At 40.4% G+C, this 19,809-nt stretch overlaps 1 protein-coding gene across 12 annotated transcripts in view; it reads left to right on the top strand.

Annotated features, from left to right (window-relative positions):
* RNMT (RNA guanine-7 methyltransferase) overlaps nt 1-19,437 on the top strand; it is a 37,884-nt gene extending 18,447 nt beyond the window's left edge. For 4 of the 12 annotated variants that reach the window (XM_047437908.1, NM_003799.3, NM_001378132.1 and 1 more), the window contains 4 exons: nt 1,101-1,218; nt 7,207-7,308; nt 8,995-9,028; nt 14,823-19,437. In XM_047437908.1, the coding sequence (XP_047293864.1) occupies nt 1,101-1,218; nt 7,207-7,308; nt 8,995-9,028; nt 14,823-14,860 (292 nt within the window). In that variant the 3' untranslated portion in view covers nt 14,861-19,437. Of the gene's footprint in view, nt 1-1,100; nt 1,219-7,206; nt 7,309-8,994; nt 9,029-12,094 lie in introns of all 12 variants that reach the window. The other 8 variants (XM_047437907.1, NM_001308263.2, NM_001378134.1 and 5 more) reach the window with 4 other exon arrangements.
* The last annotated feature ends 372 nt before the right edge of the window (nt 19,438-19,809 follow it).

The following is a 19,809-nucleotide window of genomic DNA, read 5'->3' on the forward strand; positions in this document are numbered from 1 at the left end:
GATTTATATCGGGGGCTGTCCCAAAATGAGGCAGCATTCCTTTACAGATGAATGTCTTCGAGACCATGTTCTGTATCCTAAGTGCACTGGAGCCCAGTGGAGGGTGTTAAGGGGGTAGTGACATGACTCAGGTCCGCATTTCTGAAAGCTTAATCTGGCTGCGATTGGAAAATTCATTGAGGGAGAGTAAGAATGGAAGCAGGGGACAAGCAAAGTGAGTTTATGGACTGGTGCCACTGAGTGGTGATGGTGACTGAAGCAGCAGGATGGTGCCAAATGCAGGAGGTAAGAAGTGGACCTATTTGAAATTGATGTTTTCTAGGTAAAATAGAAAGGACTTAGTGATGTGTATTGAGCACAGTGGGTAAAAGAGAAGGGGAGATGGCATGGATCACTAGGTGGATTTACTGAAATGGCAAAGATTGGCAGTAAAAGAGCAGTGATGTTCAGCCTTAGATGTGGGACGTTAGAGAGTGCCAGTGACACATGCAGGTGAAGATTTCTAATAAGCAGTAGAATCCATGAGTGATGAGAGACAGCTGAACTACCGATAGCTGGGGGGTGGAAGTGAGTAGGGCTCTGGACTGTACTCTACAGAACCTTGAAGTTTAGAAGTTGGGTAAAAAAAAACCTGTAAGTGAAAAGGAAAAAAAAAAAACCTGCAAAGAAGCAGTTCATGATGTAGGGGAAAAATTAATAGTGTATCTTGCCAGAGAAGTCGAGATGAAAGTGAATCTTTAAGAAGGAAGTTGGCAGCTGTTTGCAGTGCAGCTGTGAGAGATCAAGTAAAGTGAAATGGAATCAGTAGAAAAGAGTTTCCTACACTTTTTCCGCATCTCACAGCTCCGGAGACTCTCATTTACTTCCTGACCTTTATGTTATACTAATAGAGCCCTCTGAAACCCCTGAGATTTAGAATGCATGTTTCTTTTAGGTGTGATATGTTACTCTTGATTCATTTTGTATTACTGTATTGTGAATTTATCAAGGGAGTGGTAGCTTTTTTAGTTAAGTCCAGAAGATGTCATTGCTGTACAAAAGTAAGTTGAGGAATTACAAACATGTGGAAGCTTTTTCATTAAGTATTCTTTTTTGGACAGAATGGCAAAGAAGTACAATATGAAACTAGTCTACAAAAAAACATTTCTGGAATTCTACGAAGAAAAGATTAAGAACAATGAAAATAAAATGCTCTTAAAACGAATGCAGGCCTTGGAGGTGAGTATTTAGAAAAGATGTACAAATTTCAGTCATGGTGAACTTGTTTGGCTGTTCTTGAGATCCTTGCAAGGCCATCTGAACATGAAATAGTTATGTGTATTACGCTCTTCAGCACCTAGGACGGAGCTTGATACAGAAACTGCATGGTGAGTGCTCAGTAAATACTTGATGAAAGAATGAGTACTGGTGTTACCAAATTCTGTTTTCTAGGATAGTACTGCTTTAAAATAGGATTTCTCAGCCTCAGGACTGTTGACATTTTGTTCTGGATAATGCCTTGCTGTGGGATGCTGTGCATTGTAGGATATTCAGTAGCATTCCTGGCTTCTACGCACTAGATGCCTTCCAGTAACACTCTTGTCCCCAGTTACGATAACCAGAAAACTCTCTCCAGACATTGCCAAATGTCCCCTGGTGGACAAAATTGCCCCAAGTTGAGAACCAGTTCTTTACAACAGTGCCTTTTGGTTACGACAGTAATTTAGAACCTTCCTGGCCAGTGTCCAGACAAGCTCAAACCATACATAATTTTATTGCATGGTAATTCTTTAGCAGGGTTCCAGTCTTTTAGACTGTGTTGTTGCTGAGACCTCTCCTGTCCTAATGCAGCAGTGAAGGTATCTATATAAGCTTCAATTACACAGCCATTGATTGTTTTTCCTTTTTCTCCTTACCAGACAATGTTTGGTTGGACAGACCTAAAATATTCAGTGAGCATTTTTATTATTGATCAGTAGAATCATATTCATCAAATGGACATTAAACTTCCTTAGAGAGTTTATTCAGTTTAAGTACTTTAAGCATACTCTGACTTCTTTATCCTTATAATTACCTCCATGAAGTAGGCAGAATGGTAACTTTTCACTAATTTTTTTCCTATTTTTTTTTTTTTGTTGTTAATGACAGGATCTCGCTCTGTTGCCCAGGCTGGAGTGCAGTGATGTGATCACAGCTCACTGAGGCCTTCACCTTCTGGAAGGTGATCCTCCCACCTGAGCCTCCTGAGTAACTGACTACAAGCGTGTGTCACCACACCTGTCTCAGTTTTAAACTTTTTGTGCTGATGAAGTTTTGCTGTGTTGCGCAGGCTGGTCTCAAACTCCTGGCCTCATCAAGCAATCCTCCCGCCTTGGCCTCCCAAAGTACTGGGATTACAGGTGTGAGCCACTGCACCTGGCCAGTTTTCACATTTTTTTAGTGGGCAGCCTGAGGCTCAGAGGATAATGACTTGCTCAAGGCATACTAACCTTTAGATTTTCTTCAGTTTTTGTAGATGATACTCAAACAGAAGTCTCCTGTTGAAGTTGCACCTGCACCCAGCCACTCCCACAATGTTGAGTGGGAGGACTTTTTATAAATTCTAAATTGTCTTTTAAGAGACATAATCAGTAAAATTTCATATTCCTCATTAGTTATATTTCCTATACTTTAGATCTAAGAATGTTTTTATTGGCTTTATATTAGGAATGGATGCTTGTTTTGTTTGTCTTAAGGAAGAGGAGAAAACTAGCAAAACTATGTGTGGATAAGTCCCCCTGTCCCACATATACAGCATATCTTTAGCATATTGCCTTTATTTGATGGTGCTTTGCATGATAGTGGTCAATTATTTAGCCTTTCTCTTAGCATATGGGTAGTGAATTCACTTGTGTAATGTATGTCAAAATCTACTTAGGTATGGTAGGGTATGGGATAACAAGAATTTTATGGCATGTTATTTCAGTGAATAATGCAGTCCATGATGGGAACTGCAGTATTGAAGCATTCCAAGTGCAGTGAGTATATAAAGGGCCTTTTGGGAAGGAAGAAGATTGGTAGAGGACAGGCAGAGAAACCAGAGTGCACAGGAGATGTTTGAGGAAGTAGTGCTAATGGCCTTCACAGTTCTTCAGCAGTCTTCCTTCTCTCCCAGTACTGCACTTGGGGATATGACCTGTTACCATGGCTGTCTGGGGACAGAAGCAGTAATAGCATGTAGTTTGAAAAATCCTTTGGTTTTCCTACTTCTTGACCAAGTCACTCTGGTGGGCGTGTAAAGGACTTGGAGCAGGAAAGGACATGACCAGATAAGAGTTAGGACACTACTTGGGTGGCATAATGGGGGATGGTTTGGAGGGACTTTGAGACCAGACCAGAGGTGGAAAGAGCAGTCGGATGCCACTGCTTTCGACCAGGTCAGAGGTTTAAATGGATCTGTTTCTTGATATTTGTCCCAAAAAGTCTTTTCCTGAAGCATCCAGCTTTTATCTGGGTTCAGCACTAGAACCAGTACAACTTTTCTGCTTTCCTGGAGCGTTGGAACAGAGAGAAGAAAGAATGAAAAGATGTAGGCCATGGAACTGTAGGTCCTGACACCTGTTTTCTTTTTTTCACCAGCAAACATATTCTAGGGACAGTTCTGGAAAAGTAACTCCTTTTAGAGGAGACACTAAGATATATATGTTTTAATAAGTTTTGGTCCCGGCATGGTGGCTCATGCCTGTAACCCCAGCACTTTGGGAGGCCAAGGCGGGCAGATAACCTGAGGTCAGGAGTTGTAGAGCAGCCTGGCCAACATGGTAAAACCCCGTCTCTACTAAAAATACAAAATTAGCCAGGTGTGGTGGTGCATACTTGTAATCCCAGCTACTCAGGAGGCTGAGGCAGGAGAATCACTTGAACCCGGGAGGTGGAGGTTGCAGTGAGCGAAGATCACGCCACTGCACTCCAGCCTGGGTGACGAAACTGAAACTCCATCTCAAAAAATAAAATCAATTTTAAAAAATAACGATGTTTTACAGCTTTATAATCATGTATTGGTTGGTCTTTCAAAATGATCAGTAGAGAAGAGAAACTGGGTGTCCAGTGATAAGCAGATAATCACATGGAGGATAAGTTGAAGAACAAGTTTACAACAAAATAGTTTGACAGGCATTCAAAAACGAAGTTCTGAAGCTTTGTGATATGGTAAAACTACAATATGTGGAATTAAAGTTCAAAAAAAACTGATTGGTAATCTGTTCTTTCTTAGAGCCCTTTGTTGGGATGTGATACAAAGTAAAGTGGTTTATGCTAATGATACAGCAGTCTCAAATAGCTGAGTACTTCTAAAACAGCAAATAAATAGGTTAATTTCTAATGCCTAAACTTGCTGCAGGATGTTTATAAAGAAAAGAGACAAAGAAGATTGCAAAGCAGATATTCATAGATCATTTTCTTAAAAGTTTATTAGGGAGTTGTACGTTTAAAGTGCCTCCTTTCTAGCTGGTTTGTTGCAATAAGACAAAGAATTATAAAGAATTATAAATGAATTATTAAAAACATAAACTTTGTAGAGTAGATGGTTCTATTAAATGTTTTATGTAATTTATTATGTTTTGATTTGCATGTATCTGGTTTGTTTTTTGGTGAGAGAGTTGGGGAGACAGAGTCTCGCTCTGTCATCCAAGCTGGAGTGCACTGACACCATCTTGGCATCTTGGCACACTGCAACCCCTTCCCCCCGACCCTTCTCCCCCAGCCTCACCTAAACCCGGCCTAAGTGATCCTTTCACCTCCCCCTTCTGAGTAGCTGGGACTACAGGCACGTGCCACCACACCTGGCTACTTTTTGTATTTTACGTAGAGACAGGATGTTGAAATGTTGCCCAGGCTAGTCTCGAACCCCTGAGCTCAAGTGATCTGCCTTCCTCGGTCTCCCAAAGTGCTGGGGTTACAGCATGAGCTACCGAGCCAGGCCTGATTTACATGTATTAAAAGGCAAAATGCAGATACTATAAAGGGATATCACTTAAAATGAATTAAAAATGGCACTTGAAGTAACTTGGATAAACATTTGGCCAGCATACCCTTAAAAACACAGCATGTTTTTCTGACCCTTTTCCAGAGTCTTAGGTAAATATGGGAAATGTCTGTATTTTGGAGGCTGGATTATTAAACAGCGTTCTATGTTGTCTTGACTTTTTCATTTGTATTATTTGTAATTGCTATTTATGCTTTTCATGGCTATTAAATTGCCATCATTTTAATATTTAGCTCTTTTTATGACATCTTTAAGCTTTGTATTTATATATAAAGCCTTTGGCTAACAGTAGAGAAGGTGCAAGTGTTTGCTGCTAAATGGTTCTTGGTGGTGATTAAATTATGTAGCTTCTTTCAGCTGTGAATATCCTAAGATTATGATAAAAGTTGACCATAAGGCTGGATGTGGTGGTTCACACCTGTGATCTCAGCGCTTTGGGAGGCTGAGGTAGGAGAATTCTTTGAGACCAGAAATTTAAGACCAGCCTGGGCAACATACTGAAACCTTGTCCCTACAAAAAAATTTTTAAAAATTAGCCAGCATAGTGGCTTGTGCGTGTAGTCCCAGCTACCCAGGAGGTTGAGGTGGAGGATCACTTGAGCTCGGGAGGCCAAGGTTGCAGTGAATGGAGATCCTGCCACTGCAATACAGCCTGGGAGACAGAGCAAGACTCTGTCTCAAAAAAAAAAGATGCTAGTTTACATCTGATCTTTGACAAACCTGACAAAAACAAGCAATGGAGAAAGGATTCCCTATTTAATAAATGGTGCTGGGAAAACTGGCTAGCCATATGTAGAAAGCTGAAACTGGATCCCTTCCTTACACTTTATATAAAAATTAACTCAAGATGGATTAAAGACTTAAATGTAAGACATAAAACCATAAAAACCCTAGAAGAAAACCTAGGCAATACCATTCAGGACATAGGCATGGGCAAAGACTTCATGACTAAAACACCAAAAGCAATTGCAACAAAAGCCAAAACTGACAAATGGGATCTAATTAAACTAAATTAGATGTACTTATGCACAGCAAAAGAAACTATCATCAGAGTGAACAGGCAACCTACAGAATGGGAGAAAATTTTTGCCGTCTACCCATCTGATAGAGGGCTAATATCCATAATCTACAAAGAACTTAAACAAGTTTACAAGAAAAAAACAACCCCATCAAAAAGTGGGCAAAGGATATGAACAGACACTTCTCAAAACACGACATTTATGCAGCCAACAGACACAGAGGAAATGCTCATCATCACTGGTCATCAGAGAAATGCAAATCAAAACCACAATGAGATACCATCTCACGCCAGTTAGAATGGCGATCATTAAAAATTCAGGAAACAACAGATGCTGGAGAGGATGTGGAGAAATAGGAACGCTTTTACACTGTTGGTGGGACTGTAAACTAGTTCAACCATTGTGGAAGACAATGTGGCGATTCCTCAAGGATCTAGAACTAGAAATACCATTTGACCCAGCAATCCCATTACTGGGTGTATACCCAAAGGATTATAAATCATGCTGCTACAAAGACACATGCACACGTATGTTTATTGCAGCACTGATTCACAGTAGCAGAGACATGAAACCAACCCAGATGTCCATCAATGATAGACTAGATTAAGAAAATGTGGCACATATACACCATGGAATACTATGCAGCCATATAAAAGGATGAGTTCATGTCCTTTGTAGGGACGTGGATGAAGCTGAAAACCATCATTCTAAGCAAACTAACACAAGGACAGAAAACCAACCACCACATGTTCTCACTCATAGGTGGGAGTTGAGCAATGAGAACACATGGACACAGGAAGGGGAACATCACACACCGGGGGGCCTGTCATGGGGTGGGGGCCTGGGGGAGGTATAGCATTAGGAGAAATACCTAATGTAAATGATGAGTTGATGGGTGCAGCAAACCAACATGGCACATGTATACCTATGTAATAAACCTGAACGATTTGCACATGTACCCTGGAATAATATACCCTAGTATAATATTTAAAAAAAATTGGTTTAAGAGAGGATTCTTCCTTTTTTTTAATTTTTTTCTGTATTTCAAAAGTATGTATAGTTTGTATTCCTGAAGTAGTACTTACGGATTATTCTCCTAATTATGTTATTTCAGTGATTTAGCATGTTTAATTCTGAATTGTAAATTTCCGTTATTGTAACTAGGACTTTCATTTCTTTCCCCAGCCATATCCTGCAAATGAGAGTTCTAAACTTGTCTCTGAGAAGGTGGATGACTATGAACATGCAGCAAAGTACATGAAGAACAGTCAAGTAAGGTTACCTTTGGTAAGTTTTAATTTATGAAAGTATTTTATAGAGAATGAAAAAAAGAACATGCTTATATGGAGACATAGGAAATGATTTCACTTGTTTACAATACTTAGGCTCACTGACTTACAAATCAGTTGTTTCCACTAAGTGATGTTGACTTGTTATAACCACAGAATATGGAATAAAATTTATTTCAATGGACTGAGAATGGAGTGCTATATCTAAGGCAATGAGGACAGTGAAAAAATTACAGGGTTGGTGTGCAAGTTCCCTGCTAATGTAGGCACCAATGAACCACAGCATTTCATACATAGAATGCAGCAGTCCAGGAATTTAAATGGGAAAAAATTACATCTTCACCTATACTAATTTCTGCGTAAAAGTTTACATTTTAAGAATGATTACTACAATAGTACCACAGTGGTATTAGCTGCTGCTGTGACTTTGTCATCAGTAGAAGTTACAGATATTTTCATAGCACATTTTTGCTAATATCTTAGAATATTGTTTTCATTTATCACATCTGGAAAAATGACATCACTAGAACTGCCACTAGATCTTGTTATTATAGTTAATGGTGTGTGCAAAGCAACACATATCTTTAATATTTTGATAGCTACATAAATATAATTTATTTCCTTTGTGTGATATGTACTTTATTTTGTTATTCCTTTGAAAAAACACAAAAATTGTATTTTTTCCACCAGTGCTGTTTGATATTTCAAGATAGGCCTTTTTTATTTTTTCATTTTCCAAATTAAGAATACAAGATAGGGCCGGGTACAGTGGCTCACGCCTGTAATCCCAGCACTTTGGGAGGCCGAGGCAGGTGGATCATGAGGTCAGGAAATCGAGACCATACTGGCTAACAGTGAAACCCTGCCTCTACTAAAAATACAAAAATTAGCTGGACGTGGTGACGGGCCCCTATAGTCCCAGCTACTTGTGAGGCTGAGGCAGGAGAATGGGGTGAACCCGGGAGGCGGAGCTTGCAGTGAGCCGAGATCGCAGCACTGCACTCCAGCCTGGGCGACAGAGCCAGACTCTGTCTCAAAAAAAAGAAAGAATACAAGATAGGCCGGGCGCAATGGCTCAACGCCTGTAATCCCAGCACTTTGGGAGGCTGAGGCGGGCGGATCACAACGTCAGGAGATTGAGACCATCCTGGCTGACACGGTGAAACCTCGTCTTTACTAAAAACGCAAAAAGTTAGCTAGGCGTGGTGGCGGGCACCTGTAGTCCCAGCTACTCGGCAGGCTGAGGCAGGAGAATGGCATGAACCCAGGAGGCAGAGCTTGCAGTGAGCCAAGATCACGCCACTGCCCTCCAGTCTGGGCGACAGAGCAAGGCTCTGTCTCAAAAAAAGAAAAAAAAAATAATACAAGATAGATGCATTTTCCAGTTACACACACACACACACACACACACACACACACACAATGCCCTCTTCACACACATTCACCCTTTGGATGAGAATTTGAGAATTTGGCAGGAGGATAAAAGTCTGAGAAGATGACTTTCAAAGTGAATCTCACCGATTTCTTTTATATGCTCAGGTCACAATATGATTAACAGTGAATCGAATGTGTATTTACAGTGAAGTTAGGGTCTTTTGGCCATCTCTGCCCATTATTTAGAAATAAGCATATGTTTACTTCCATATTGAATCTAAAATTTTCTTTTTCTCTTTTGTAATTTTAGGGAACCTTAAGTAAATCAGAATGGGAAGCTACAAGTGAGTATATCATCAGCATAGATTAACTGATAATTTCAAAAGTCCTGTTTCAAAGTGATCATTAAAACCTGAAAAAAGGCTGGGCACTGTGGCTCACACCAGTACTCTCAGTATTTTGGGATGCCGAGACAGACAGATTCCTCGAGCCCAGGAGTTGAGACCGGTCTGGGCAACATGGCAAATGCTTGTCTCTACCAAAAATACAAAAAAATTAGCCAGTCATGGTGGCATGTGCCTGTAGTCCAGCTACTCAGGAGGCTGAGGTGGGAGGATTCCTTGAGCCTGAGAAGTCAAGGCTGCAGTGAGCTGTGATTACATCACTGCACTCCAGTCTGGGCAACACAGCGAGACTCTCAAAAAAAAATCTGAAAACTTTGAGTTTTTCTGACATTTTAGGTTGTGTTTGTGTTTACACACACACACAAATACGTATATCTCTACATATGTCTAATCCTCCTTTCTTGCACAGCTGTGTAGTGCCAAGAGAAGATACACTGTACACAGGGTCTTCCTCAGCATAAACTTGAGTGAGCATGTGTAAACATTCTCATTGCCTATTTGTTACTAAGTAGCCATCTCCATTTGAAGTGTTTACCTCAGATTTCTACTGGAATTTTTGGCTTATAGAATACTTGCATGTCTTTTTTTTATTTGGCCACTCTGATGTGACAGTGAAGGCATAATAATACTAGAACATTCAATGAAACATCCATGAGCAGGATGTGTTAGAGGTGTGCATGATAGGGGACAAATGTGGTGCAAAGATATTCTGAAGTGAGGTTCCTGTGTTCAGAAGAGAAGCCAGAAGCACAGCAAATCTGTGAAGGCCTGTGGTTCTTCAGCAGTGGGTGTTGAGGAAGTCAGGTTGCAGAGCCTCATTGTTACTGTAGGAATCCCCTTACATGGTTGTTGGTGATGTTGAGGCACAAGTGGTCATTAAGGACAATCCATTTGATAAACATTATTGATTTACGTGAAGTTCTGTGAAAGGTAAAGTAAAATAAAGATGTTAAATCTCTACCTTCTAGAAGTCTACACTGTAATGGAAGGAACAGGCACAAATAAACACTACTAGGCAAATTTTTAAGTGCTAATGATACTGTAGTGGGGCACAAAGGTGAAAGAGAGCTTAATGAAAACTAAACTAATGACATCTGGGATGTAGTAATATTGATATTACTGAGTGTTGAACATGTGCAGGTGCGTGTAACGTTTTTAATCCTTGTAATAACTCACATGTTGTAACTCATTTAATCCTCACAATGACTTTATGAGTAGAGTATTATATCTCCTTTCACAGATGAGAAGACTAACAACTTAGCTAAGATCACAGAGCTAACCTGTGGTTAGCTTACCTAAGTGATCTGTCATTTTAACTATGGTTTCATGGAAGCCTGGCAAAAGGAAAATCTAGTAAGACTTCCTGAGTTGGATAGAGAAGAAGAGGAAAGGAGTCAAGCAAGACCAGTATTTTGAGGCTATTTGTCTTTGAACATTGGTACTATTACTAGAAATCGGACTGGAGGATGTTATACACATACGATCATGCTTGACACACTGGTGAGCATGTGCATAAACTATGGATTTTATTACTTTTTCCCTGCAGTGGAGACTGGTTGCCTGTCTTAGACATCCTGCTGGTCCCAAAGTAGAGTGTAAATTTTGATCACGAGTCATCATGATGGCGGTACTGGCTGTGGCTTAGAACTGTATTTTTATATTATTAAGTGTGGACTTTAGTCATCATGTACAAATGAAAAATTAGATGGCCCCAGACAATTGGAAGAGATGGGCTGGACATGCGAAGAGAGCAGTGGCCAAATTGCACCTCGGGTGTAGCACCCCAGGATTGTTTGGCTGTTTGATGAATTGCTCTGTTCTAAGCTAGAGGGCTTCGTGGGTTGAGCGTATTTTGCATGCCATCACGAGTCTAAAAGGCCCAGGCTACATTTTAGACTTCTACTGGTCTGATCATTAAGCTATCACCAGAGCTGCTGCTCCTCTAGAAGATGGCTTTAAATGAGAAAGGAGAGAATTGCTATTGATTTATTTCTGGAAGTGGAAGTGGTTCACGATTTGATTTTTTTAAATCCCAATTGAAATGCCTGCATAGAAGGCATTTTATACAATAAGTGGGACTTTTTAGGAGTTTCAAGTTAGAAAGAAAGTTGCTATTATGTATTGAAAATCAGACTCTAGCATGTTAGTGGTTTCAAATGACCCTAAATGAGGACAGGACAGGACTGAGGGGTTGTTTGCAATTGCTATGGGTGTGTGGGGGGTGGGATTTGGCAGGGCTGGGCTGCACAAAGGTCACACAGAGTGGGGGACAGCATGAGTGATACTGGCCAGCTGTGAGTGCTGACATGCTGTGCACGCTGATGTGTTGCAAGTGCTGGGGACTGCTTTGTCTCCTTACCTTCTGGCAAGAACCACAGAATTGATGAACACCCTGCCTGTTTTCTGTCCTATCGCTGTGCTACTAGCCACATTTCATTTCAACTAAAAGAAATTGGAAACCGGTAAATAAGGTGACCAAAGTAGTATTTTGGAAAAACTGCTATGGTGTTCCTGTACAAGTTGGGTTGGAAGAGCAAGAAGCTGGAGTCTTGGGAGGCCATCAGGCAGTTAGCTGTGTTCATCTACCCTCCCTTCAAAAGAAGTCATCTCAAGGAGTGAGGCCTCCAGCTTAGATGGACTTGATCTTGACTCACTGTTGAGTATCCTAGCACATGCCCCAAACATCCTTGTGATGTTTGCAGGATTTGTCACCTTTGCAGGTATTTTCTTGCCCTAAAATCTATTGGTATTTTATTAGAAGATATACAGGCATACCTTGGAGATACTGCAAGTTCAGTTCTAGACCACCACAATAAAGCAAGTCACTCAGATTTTTTGGTTTCCCAGTGCATATAAAAGTTATGTTTACTGTAGTCTGTTAAGTGTGTAGTAGTGTTGTGTCTGAAAACCATGTACATACCTTAATTTAAAAATACTTCATTGGTAAAAAAATGCTGATGATCATCTGAACCTTCAGTGAATCTGAATCTTTTCTGCTTGGTGAAGGGTCTTTCCTCCATGGCGGAAATACTCTTGATGGATGGTGGTTGCCGAAGATTGGTGTGGCTGTGGCAGTTAAGACAATGAAGTTTGCCTCATTGATTGACCATTCTTTCACAGAAGATTTCTCTGTAGCATGCAGTGCTGTTTGATAGCGTTTTACCCACTGTAGAACTTATTTCTAAATTGGAGTCACTCCTCTGAAACCCTACTGGTCTTTATCAACTAAGTTTTTGTAATATTAATATTCGAAATCCTTGTCATTTCAACAATGTTCCCAATGTGTTTACCAGAAGTAGATTCTATCTCAAGCTCATCCATAAGAAGCAGCTCTTCATTTGTTCAAGTTTGATCATGAGATTGCAGCAATTCAGTCACATCTGCAGGCTCCACTTCTAATTCTGGTTCTCTTGTTGTTGCCATCCCGTCTGCAGCTACTTCCTCCACTGATGTGTTGAACCCCTTGAAGTCATGCATGAGGGTTGGAATCCAGTTCTTCTAAACTTGCGTTCATGTTGATATTTTGACCTCATCCCATGAAGCATGAACATTCTTAATGATATCTAGAATGGGGAATCATTTCCATCAGGTTTTTTATTTACTTCATCCAGATCCATCAGAGGAATCACTATCTATGGCAGCTATAGCCTTACAAAATGTATTTCTTAAATAATAAGACTTAAAAATGAAAAGTACCCCTTGATCAATGGGCTGCAGAATGGATGTTGTATTAGCAGCCATGAAAATAACATTGATCTCCTTGTACATCTTCATCAGACCTCCTGGGTGACCAGGTATATTGCCAATGAGCGGTAATATTTTGAAAAGAATTTTATTTTTCTGAGCAGTAGGTCTCAACAGTGGGCCTAAAATACTCAGTAAACCGTGATGTGAACAGATATGCTGTCATCCAGGCTTTGTTCCATTTATAGAGCATGAGCAGAGCAGATTTTACATAATTCTTAAGGGCCTCGGGATTTTTGGAAGGATAAATGAGCATTGGCTTCACCTTAAAGTCACTAGCAGCATTAGTCCCTAACAGGAGAGTCGCCCTGTCTTTTGAAGCTTTGAAACTAGGTATTGACTTCTCTCTAGCTATGAAAGTCCTAGATGGCATCTTCTAATAGAAGACTGTCTCGTCTTCATTGAAGATCTTATTTAGTGTAGCCACCTTCATCAATGATCTTAGCTAGATCTTCTGCATAACTTGATGCAGCTTCTACATCAGCACTTGCTGCATCATCTTGCACTTTTACATTATGAAGGTGGCTGCTTTCCTTAAACGTCCTGAACCAACTTCTAGTTTCAGACTTTTCTTGTGCAGTTTCCTCACCTCTCTCATCCTTCATAGAATTGAAGAGAGAGAGTTAGGGCCTCTGAATTAGGCTTTGGATAAAGGGAATGTTGTGGCTGGTTGATCTTTGCAGACCACTCAGACTTTTTCTGAAAATCAGCAGTAAGGCTGTTTGCTTTCTTATTCCAGTGTGTTCATTGGAGTAGACTTTTATTTTAAGAACTTTTCCTTTGCATTCATAACGGCTGATTTCAAGCCTAGCTTTTTGCCTATTTTAGCTTTTTACATGCCTTGTTCACTAAGCTTAGTCATTTCTAGCTTCTGATTTAAAGTGAGAGATGTGCAAGTCTTCCTTTCACTTGAACATGTGGAGACCATTGTAGGATTATTAACTGGCCTTATTTCAATATTGTTGTATCTCCAGGAACAGAGAGGCCAAGGAGAGGGAGGGAGAGAGATGAGGGAACAGCTGATTAGTGGAGCAGTCAGAGCACACATGACATTTATGAGTTCTCCATCTTATAAAGGCACCTCGATAAAGTTTGTGGCACCTCAAAACAATTACAGTAATAACAGCAAAGATCACTGATTACAGATCATCATGACAAATAATAATGGAAAAGTTTGAAATAATGCAAGAATTACCGTAATGTGACATAAAAACCCGAAGCGAGCATGTGCTGTTGGAAAAATGGTGCCAGTAGACTTGCTTGATATGGTATTGCCACATACCTACAATTTGTAAAAAACACCAATTTGTAAAGCTAAATAAAGCTAGGTATGCCTTTAATAGGTTTCAACTTGATTCAGAACAAGGAATCCTAAATTCATTTAGCTGTCTTTGAGTCAAAGCAGGAAACCTTATTTCAGGGAGAGAGCTCTTGGGGCTAATACATGTAGAAATAGAAATAATATCTCTGAAGTATTGATTGTCGTAGAGCTTTTGGCTTACTTTCTTCACAAGGCCCTACAACACAATAATTGGATAATTGGGTGAATTGTTAACATGTCATGTTATGTATGTTCCTTTAATTCTAGTTTTCTAAAATATCTTTAATATTTTTAATTCTAGTTTTCTTTGTTATACTTATTTAAAATTTAATTTTATTATAATTTTAATTTGTTATACTTCTAATTTAGTTATACTTTTATTTTTCTTACCTTAAACTGATTTTTAGAGCTGTTGAACTGGTTTTCCCATGGGCTGCAATATCACTGAGTATTATAGTAAGTAGATAATTGTTTTAAAGTAAGCAAGTACCATCCCATGTCTGCCTAAAAATGATTCAAATAATAGAGGAACTCTTAGAATTAATGGGGATTTTCCTCTTCAGAAGCTGCTTGAGAGCCTAAGAATTTTCACCAAATTATGAACAAGACAGATTGTTTTATTTATTGTAATCATATGAGAAACTGAACTCTTATTTATTTCTTCTTTAGGTATTTACTTGGTGTTTGCCTTTGAGAAACAGCAGTGAGCACATAGGCAGTAGTCCCAGAGGGGCCGTGTTCTGTCCTGCACAAATTTGAACAACTCATCTCGATATATTTGATATTTCTCTGTCTGTTGATTTTAATTCTAAATGTGCAGGATGCTGCCAGAAACTCCAATGTAGAAATTCAACATTTGCTGTCTGTGACAGATGAACTTTTGCATGTGTATATAAGAATGAGTTGGGACCTCTGTCTTTAAAAATCTATTTTTAGGTAATGTTCTAAGAATTCCATTTGCCTCTATGATCTTAGCTCATAAAAATATAATATGACTTGATAAAGCAACTAAACTCTTTCCACAGTGTTCAGATTTGTCCTGTGTGTGTTTACAGTATTCAATTTATTGCAGTTATAGAATTGGTCAGAGAGCATTTTCATAGTGTGCTCATTTCTATGGTTTTGTTATATAGCATTTTTCAACATTTAATGGTCTGTACAGTTGAATGTAAGTGTTCAATATGTATTGCTGAAGTTATAAGTTTAAAACTCAATTTCAGATGCTCATAAAAGTTACTTAGCTAAAATTTTAGCAATTTATTGCATTTTGAAATAATCATTAACATGCTGCAATTCAGGAGCTGGTTAGAACATTTTAAGTGGCAGCATAGAATTTTGGAATTTTGGGGCTTTCTTTTCAGAAATTGCTACCATAGTAATTAATGTTTCCAGTTATCAAGATTGTGATTAGACACATTTACCTTTCTTCATTGAACAAATGGTGCCATAGTTATTTTTCTCAAAATTTAGTGAAAATCCCTCCCATGTAGACATGTTGCACATTTTTTCCAAATTTATACATGGAACTGCAGTAGGAATATTCTCACCATCTGATGCCATGTACCCACTTCAGAAATAAGCAATACTTGTTCCTCTGTTACAACCTCAGCACTTTGCACCGTAGGAGCCATTGTTAAAGTTGTCACTTGTGTAACTGACTGCTTTTCCAAAACTGGTACTTATGTGAACTGTTGTCCTTGCTTTACACCACCATTTGGAAAACTTACCAGTTTTTAGATGTAGATGTAGTGAAAAACTTCAAGAATGAAGCAGAGCAATTGAGTATTCTTTTTTAAATTATTAAGCCATGATTTACAAAAACATTACTTTCTGTAATTCACAATACTTGTTTTAAAAACATAGTGTCTTCATTAGTGTGCATCTATTAACTGTTCATGGTGTTAGAGTTGCAAACTTTTTAGCAAGAAAATATGGATTTCCTCATTTCAGTTCCTTCTGCAGCCTGTGAATCTCCACAAAGTGTTACCAGTTTACAAAAATAAGTCTTTTTGCCTTAAGTCATTTTGGAAATAAGTAATACTGCATCTGACTCTGGTGGCTGTATTAGCTAGGAAAGGTTTGTAAATGGTGTCAGTGAGGTGGGGAAAGGAAGTCTTCCTGTCACATATGCAGGTTCGTTTTCATTCTAGGGCAGTGCCAGGAAGTATATTGATAGCTTTGTAGGTACAGGAAAAACATCATCATTATTTCCTCTGTTCACATTTACTGGTCTTAATTAACAGGTAATAATAATACATGTACTTTTAGCCTGAAACCTCTTCCACGCCATGGGTAACTTGGGGGAGAGAAGAATCCTCCAAACGATGGAGTAGCCAGTGGTAATACAAAGCAGGGAGAACAGAAAGGTAGAGTTACTAAGGCCTTCAGTGAACAGAAAGGAGCAGAGAGCAAGATTAGATCTGAGAAGATGCTCTGGGGACTGAGCCCACTGTTGTTGGTGTCAGGGAGGCTTACTGGAGCCACACCTGCAGGCGCTGTGTTCAGGCACCACCTTCCTCCTTGAGCTTTGCCTGTCTCTTGCCTTATCAGTTCTTCCTCCACCACCCTACACCCCCCTCCCCCCGGCCCCAAGCCCCTGTGTCTCCTTGTTACAATTAAGTTTCTGGATATTGACTTAAGAACTGTTAGGAAGAGGACTAGAAAAGGCTTCCCCTGCCTATCCTCTCCGATCACCAAGGTGGAAGGGAGCTAGTAGGACTCTTCCTTGACACACCTTGTCGTCTAAATGTTCGGTATTCTATTCAGGACTTACGGTAACTATTATGAGGGAGGCATGGCTTTCCACCGTCGGGCCAGGAAGAGCACCTGTTGCTGCAAGCTCAGTGAAGTGGGGCACTCCCAGACCTGCCATGCAGTTTATCCTCTGAGAATGGAATTGGAAATGAAGACCTAACCAGCTATTGGTGGGAATGACGGAACTGGGGATTGCGATGATTGATCTGGGAACATGGCTGGATTGTGATTTAACCAAGAATGCTGATGTTGAATTCTTTGGGCCTAGAATATACTTGAGAAAGCACTAGTGGCTTGTGTTCAGGGAGAGGAGCTGGCAGTTTTTAACCACTTCTGTGGGAGCCGTGTTCTAACCTGTGGAAAGTATTGCAATTCTGTGAGAGTGACTCTGCAGAGTCACTGCACCATCAGGCTTGGCCCTGCTGTGCCTTCAGTACCCAGCCAGGTTCTCTGGGTCCAGGGTGACTCTCCAAAGAAATTGGCCTTCAGCTGGAGAAAACATTGGGTGGAGACTCTCACTTATGTTAATGCAATCTTGAAATGACTGAAAGGTAGATTGCCAGCACAGTGAGTTTCCCAGCCTGCTCCCCCATCCACACTTGGAAATTGAGGGAGCATGACCGCTCTCTGACTTCACATGTTAATAGAGGATCAGAGCAGAGTTGGGAGTATATTGGTCAGGATCATAGAAAAGAAGACAAAGCTTGCTCAGCCATGAGATGGCCAGGTATCCAGTTTTGTTAACTCTCTTTGGGAATTTCTTTTTCAGCCTGTTTTTTAGCTTAGTGCCATTATGTCATTTTGATTTGTATTCAAGTACTCTTCAAGTATCTTTGTAATGAAGGTTTGGCTACTTGTATAGGTCTGCCTGCAGGGTGAAAATGCCAGTGTGAATATTCTAGCTACCAAACATTGTTTTTTGTTGAAAAACTGACTTTCTGTTGTCTACCTCAGGCCTTGTGCATTTGGGTTATCTCAAGCCAGTCACCACAGAGGGTCTCTAGGGTCTGCAAAATAGAGGCCAAATCCAGGGACCAGGCCCTAATAATAGAAGTTGTACCAAAATGCCTGTGGTACTTGATGGCCTGTTGGTCAAATAGGAAGTACAAGTGTGTGATGTTAGAACCTCCCTAGTTGCTGCTATATCAAACACTGCACACTTGACAAGTGTTTTCATTCCCCGCCCTCTGACAGAACAACATTCCTAATTCTTTGAAGGCAACCAGTGCAAAGGCTACTACACTTGTGTAATGATATTTAGCAGATGCATACAGGACTGGATCCCAGGGCACTGTCAGTTCTTCCCTCCCTCTCGTGCTGCTCAGTTTGTCCTCTGCTCCCATGTAGGCCTAAAGTCACCCCACTCCTTAGTGCCTGCACCTCACCACGATATTGAGGAAGCACAGGACATCCAAGGGTACTCTCCAGTTTGGCTGTGGAGACTTGAGCAAGCCCTAAAGTCCCCTGCTCCCTGGACTTCTCCTGGGTTGTGCTTTTTTGGGGGCAACATACCTTGGACAAAGCTGAGCTGACAGCTAATGTTTATTAGCCTCCTACCTAAGTCAGTCACTTTGCTAAATTCTTCACCTGTGGTAACTCATTTTGATTGTTATAACATCTCAGCACCGTTATTCCCATTTTAATGATGAGGAAACTGAGTCATAGAGGATACAGACTTGCCCAAAGGAGAGCCAGGATTTTCACACCCCCTCCTCAAGCTGGGCCTGCCCTCCAAGTGCTTGTTATATACCTCCACGGGTGTCAGCCCAGATGACTCCTCACCCATCCACCACCTGCAGCTTGAGATGTTAACTATTAGAGCTCCATTCTTTTGGTTCAAAACGTTGATACTTACTTAGATGTTCCCTGAGAGGAGTGTTTATTTCTGAGTAAGGGGCTTTGTTGAAAGAGGGGGTTAGAGAGAGCAAGACAGCACTTGAGTGCACTGGCAGGAAGCAGAGATAAGACTTGAATTTCAGTTTGGTAGACCACCTTCTTTAGCAGCCCAACCTGTAGCAAATCTAGTTTAGCCTGCATGGCAGGGAGAGGGATTCTCTTCCCACCCTCACCATTTGCAAGTGGCAGGAGCTGAGAATGCCAGTACGAGAGTGTAGCCAAAGTGAGAGGCTGAGAGCAAAGGAGACATTTTTTTCAGTTTTGAGTCGAGTATCCAGACAGAGGCAAATCATTTTGTTTAACTTTTTATTAAAGTGTAACTATAGAAACACATCAATGATTTTTCACAAGTGGAGCACGTGCATACAATCGGCACCCCAGAAGCCCCCCGTCAGATTCCCTTCCAGTTAACTACCTCTCCAAGGGAAACCACTATCCTGAGTTCTAAGCGCATAGATTAGTTCTGTCTGGTTTGGGGAGATATATAAATGGAATTATGCATTCTTCGTATCTGGTTTCTTTTCACCAATATTATGTTTGTGAGATTTTTGTTGCATGTATTTGTACATGGATTTTCATTCTCATGGTTGTATAATATTTCATTGTGTGAATAAACCACATACTGTTTATCTGACAGCTGTTTGGTTCATTTACCATTTGGAAACTAGTACTGATCCAGATATTCTAGTACATGAATTTTGGTGCACATAGGTACATACTTCTGCTTAGGAATGTGCTACAATTTGAATGTTTGTCCTTCTAGATCTTATGTTGAAATTTGATCCCCAGTGTTGGAGGTAGGGCCTAATGGGAGGTGTTTGGGTCGGGGGGCGGGTCCCTGATGGATAGATTAATGCCTTGCGGTGGTGGGAGTGTGAGTTCTTGCTCAGTTAGTTCCCAAGGACAAGTTAATTGTTGTTGCCGATTAACAACAATGACACCTGGTTGTTTAAAAGAGCCTGGCACTTCCCCCATTTTTTGCTTTCTCTCGCCATGTGATCTCTAC

Source organism: Homo sapiens, chromosome 18 (genome assembly GCF_000001405.40).
Source record: "Homo sapiens chromosome 18, GRCh38.p14 Primary Assembly".
NCBI lineage: Eukaryota > Metazoa > Chordata > Mammalia > Primates > Hominidae > Homo > Homo sapiens.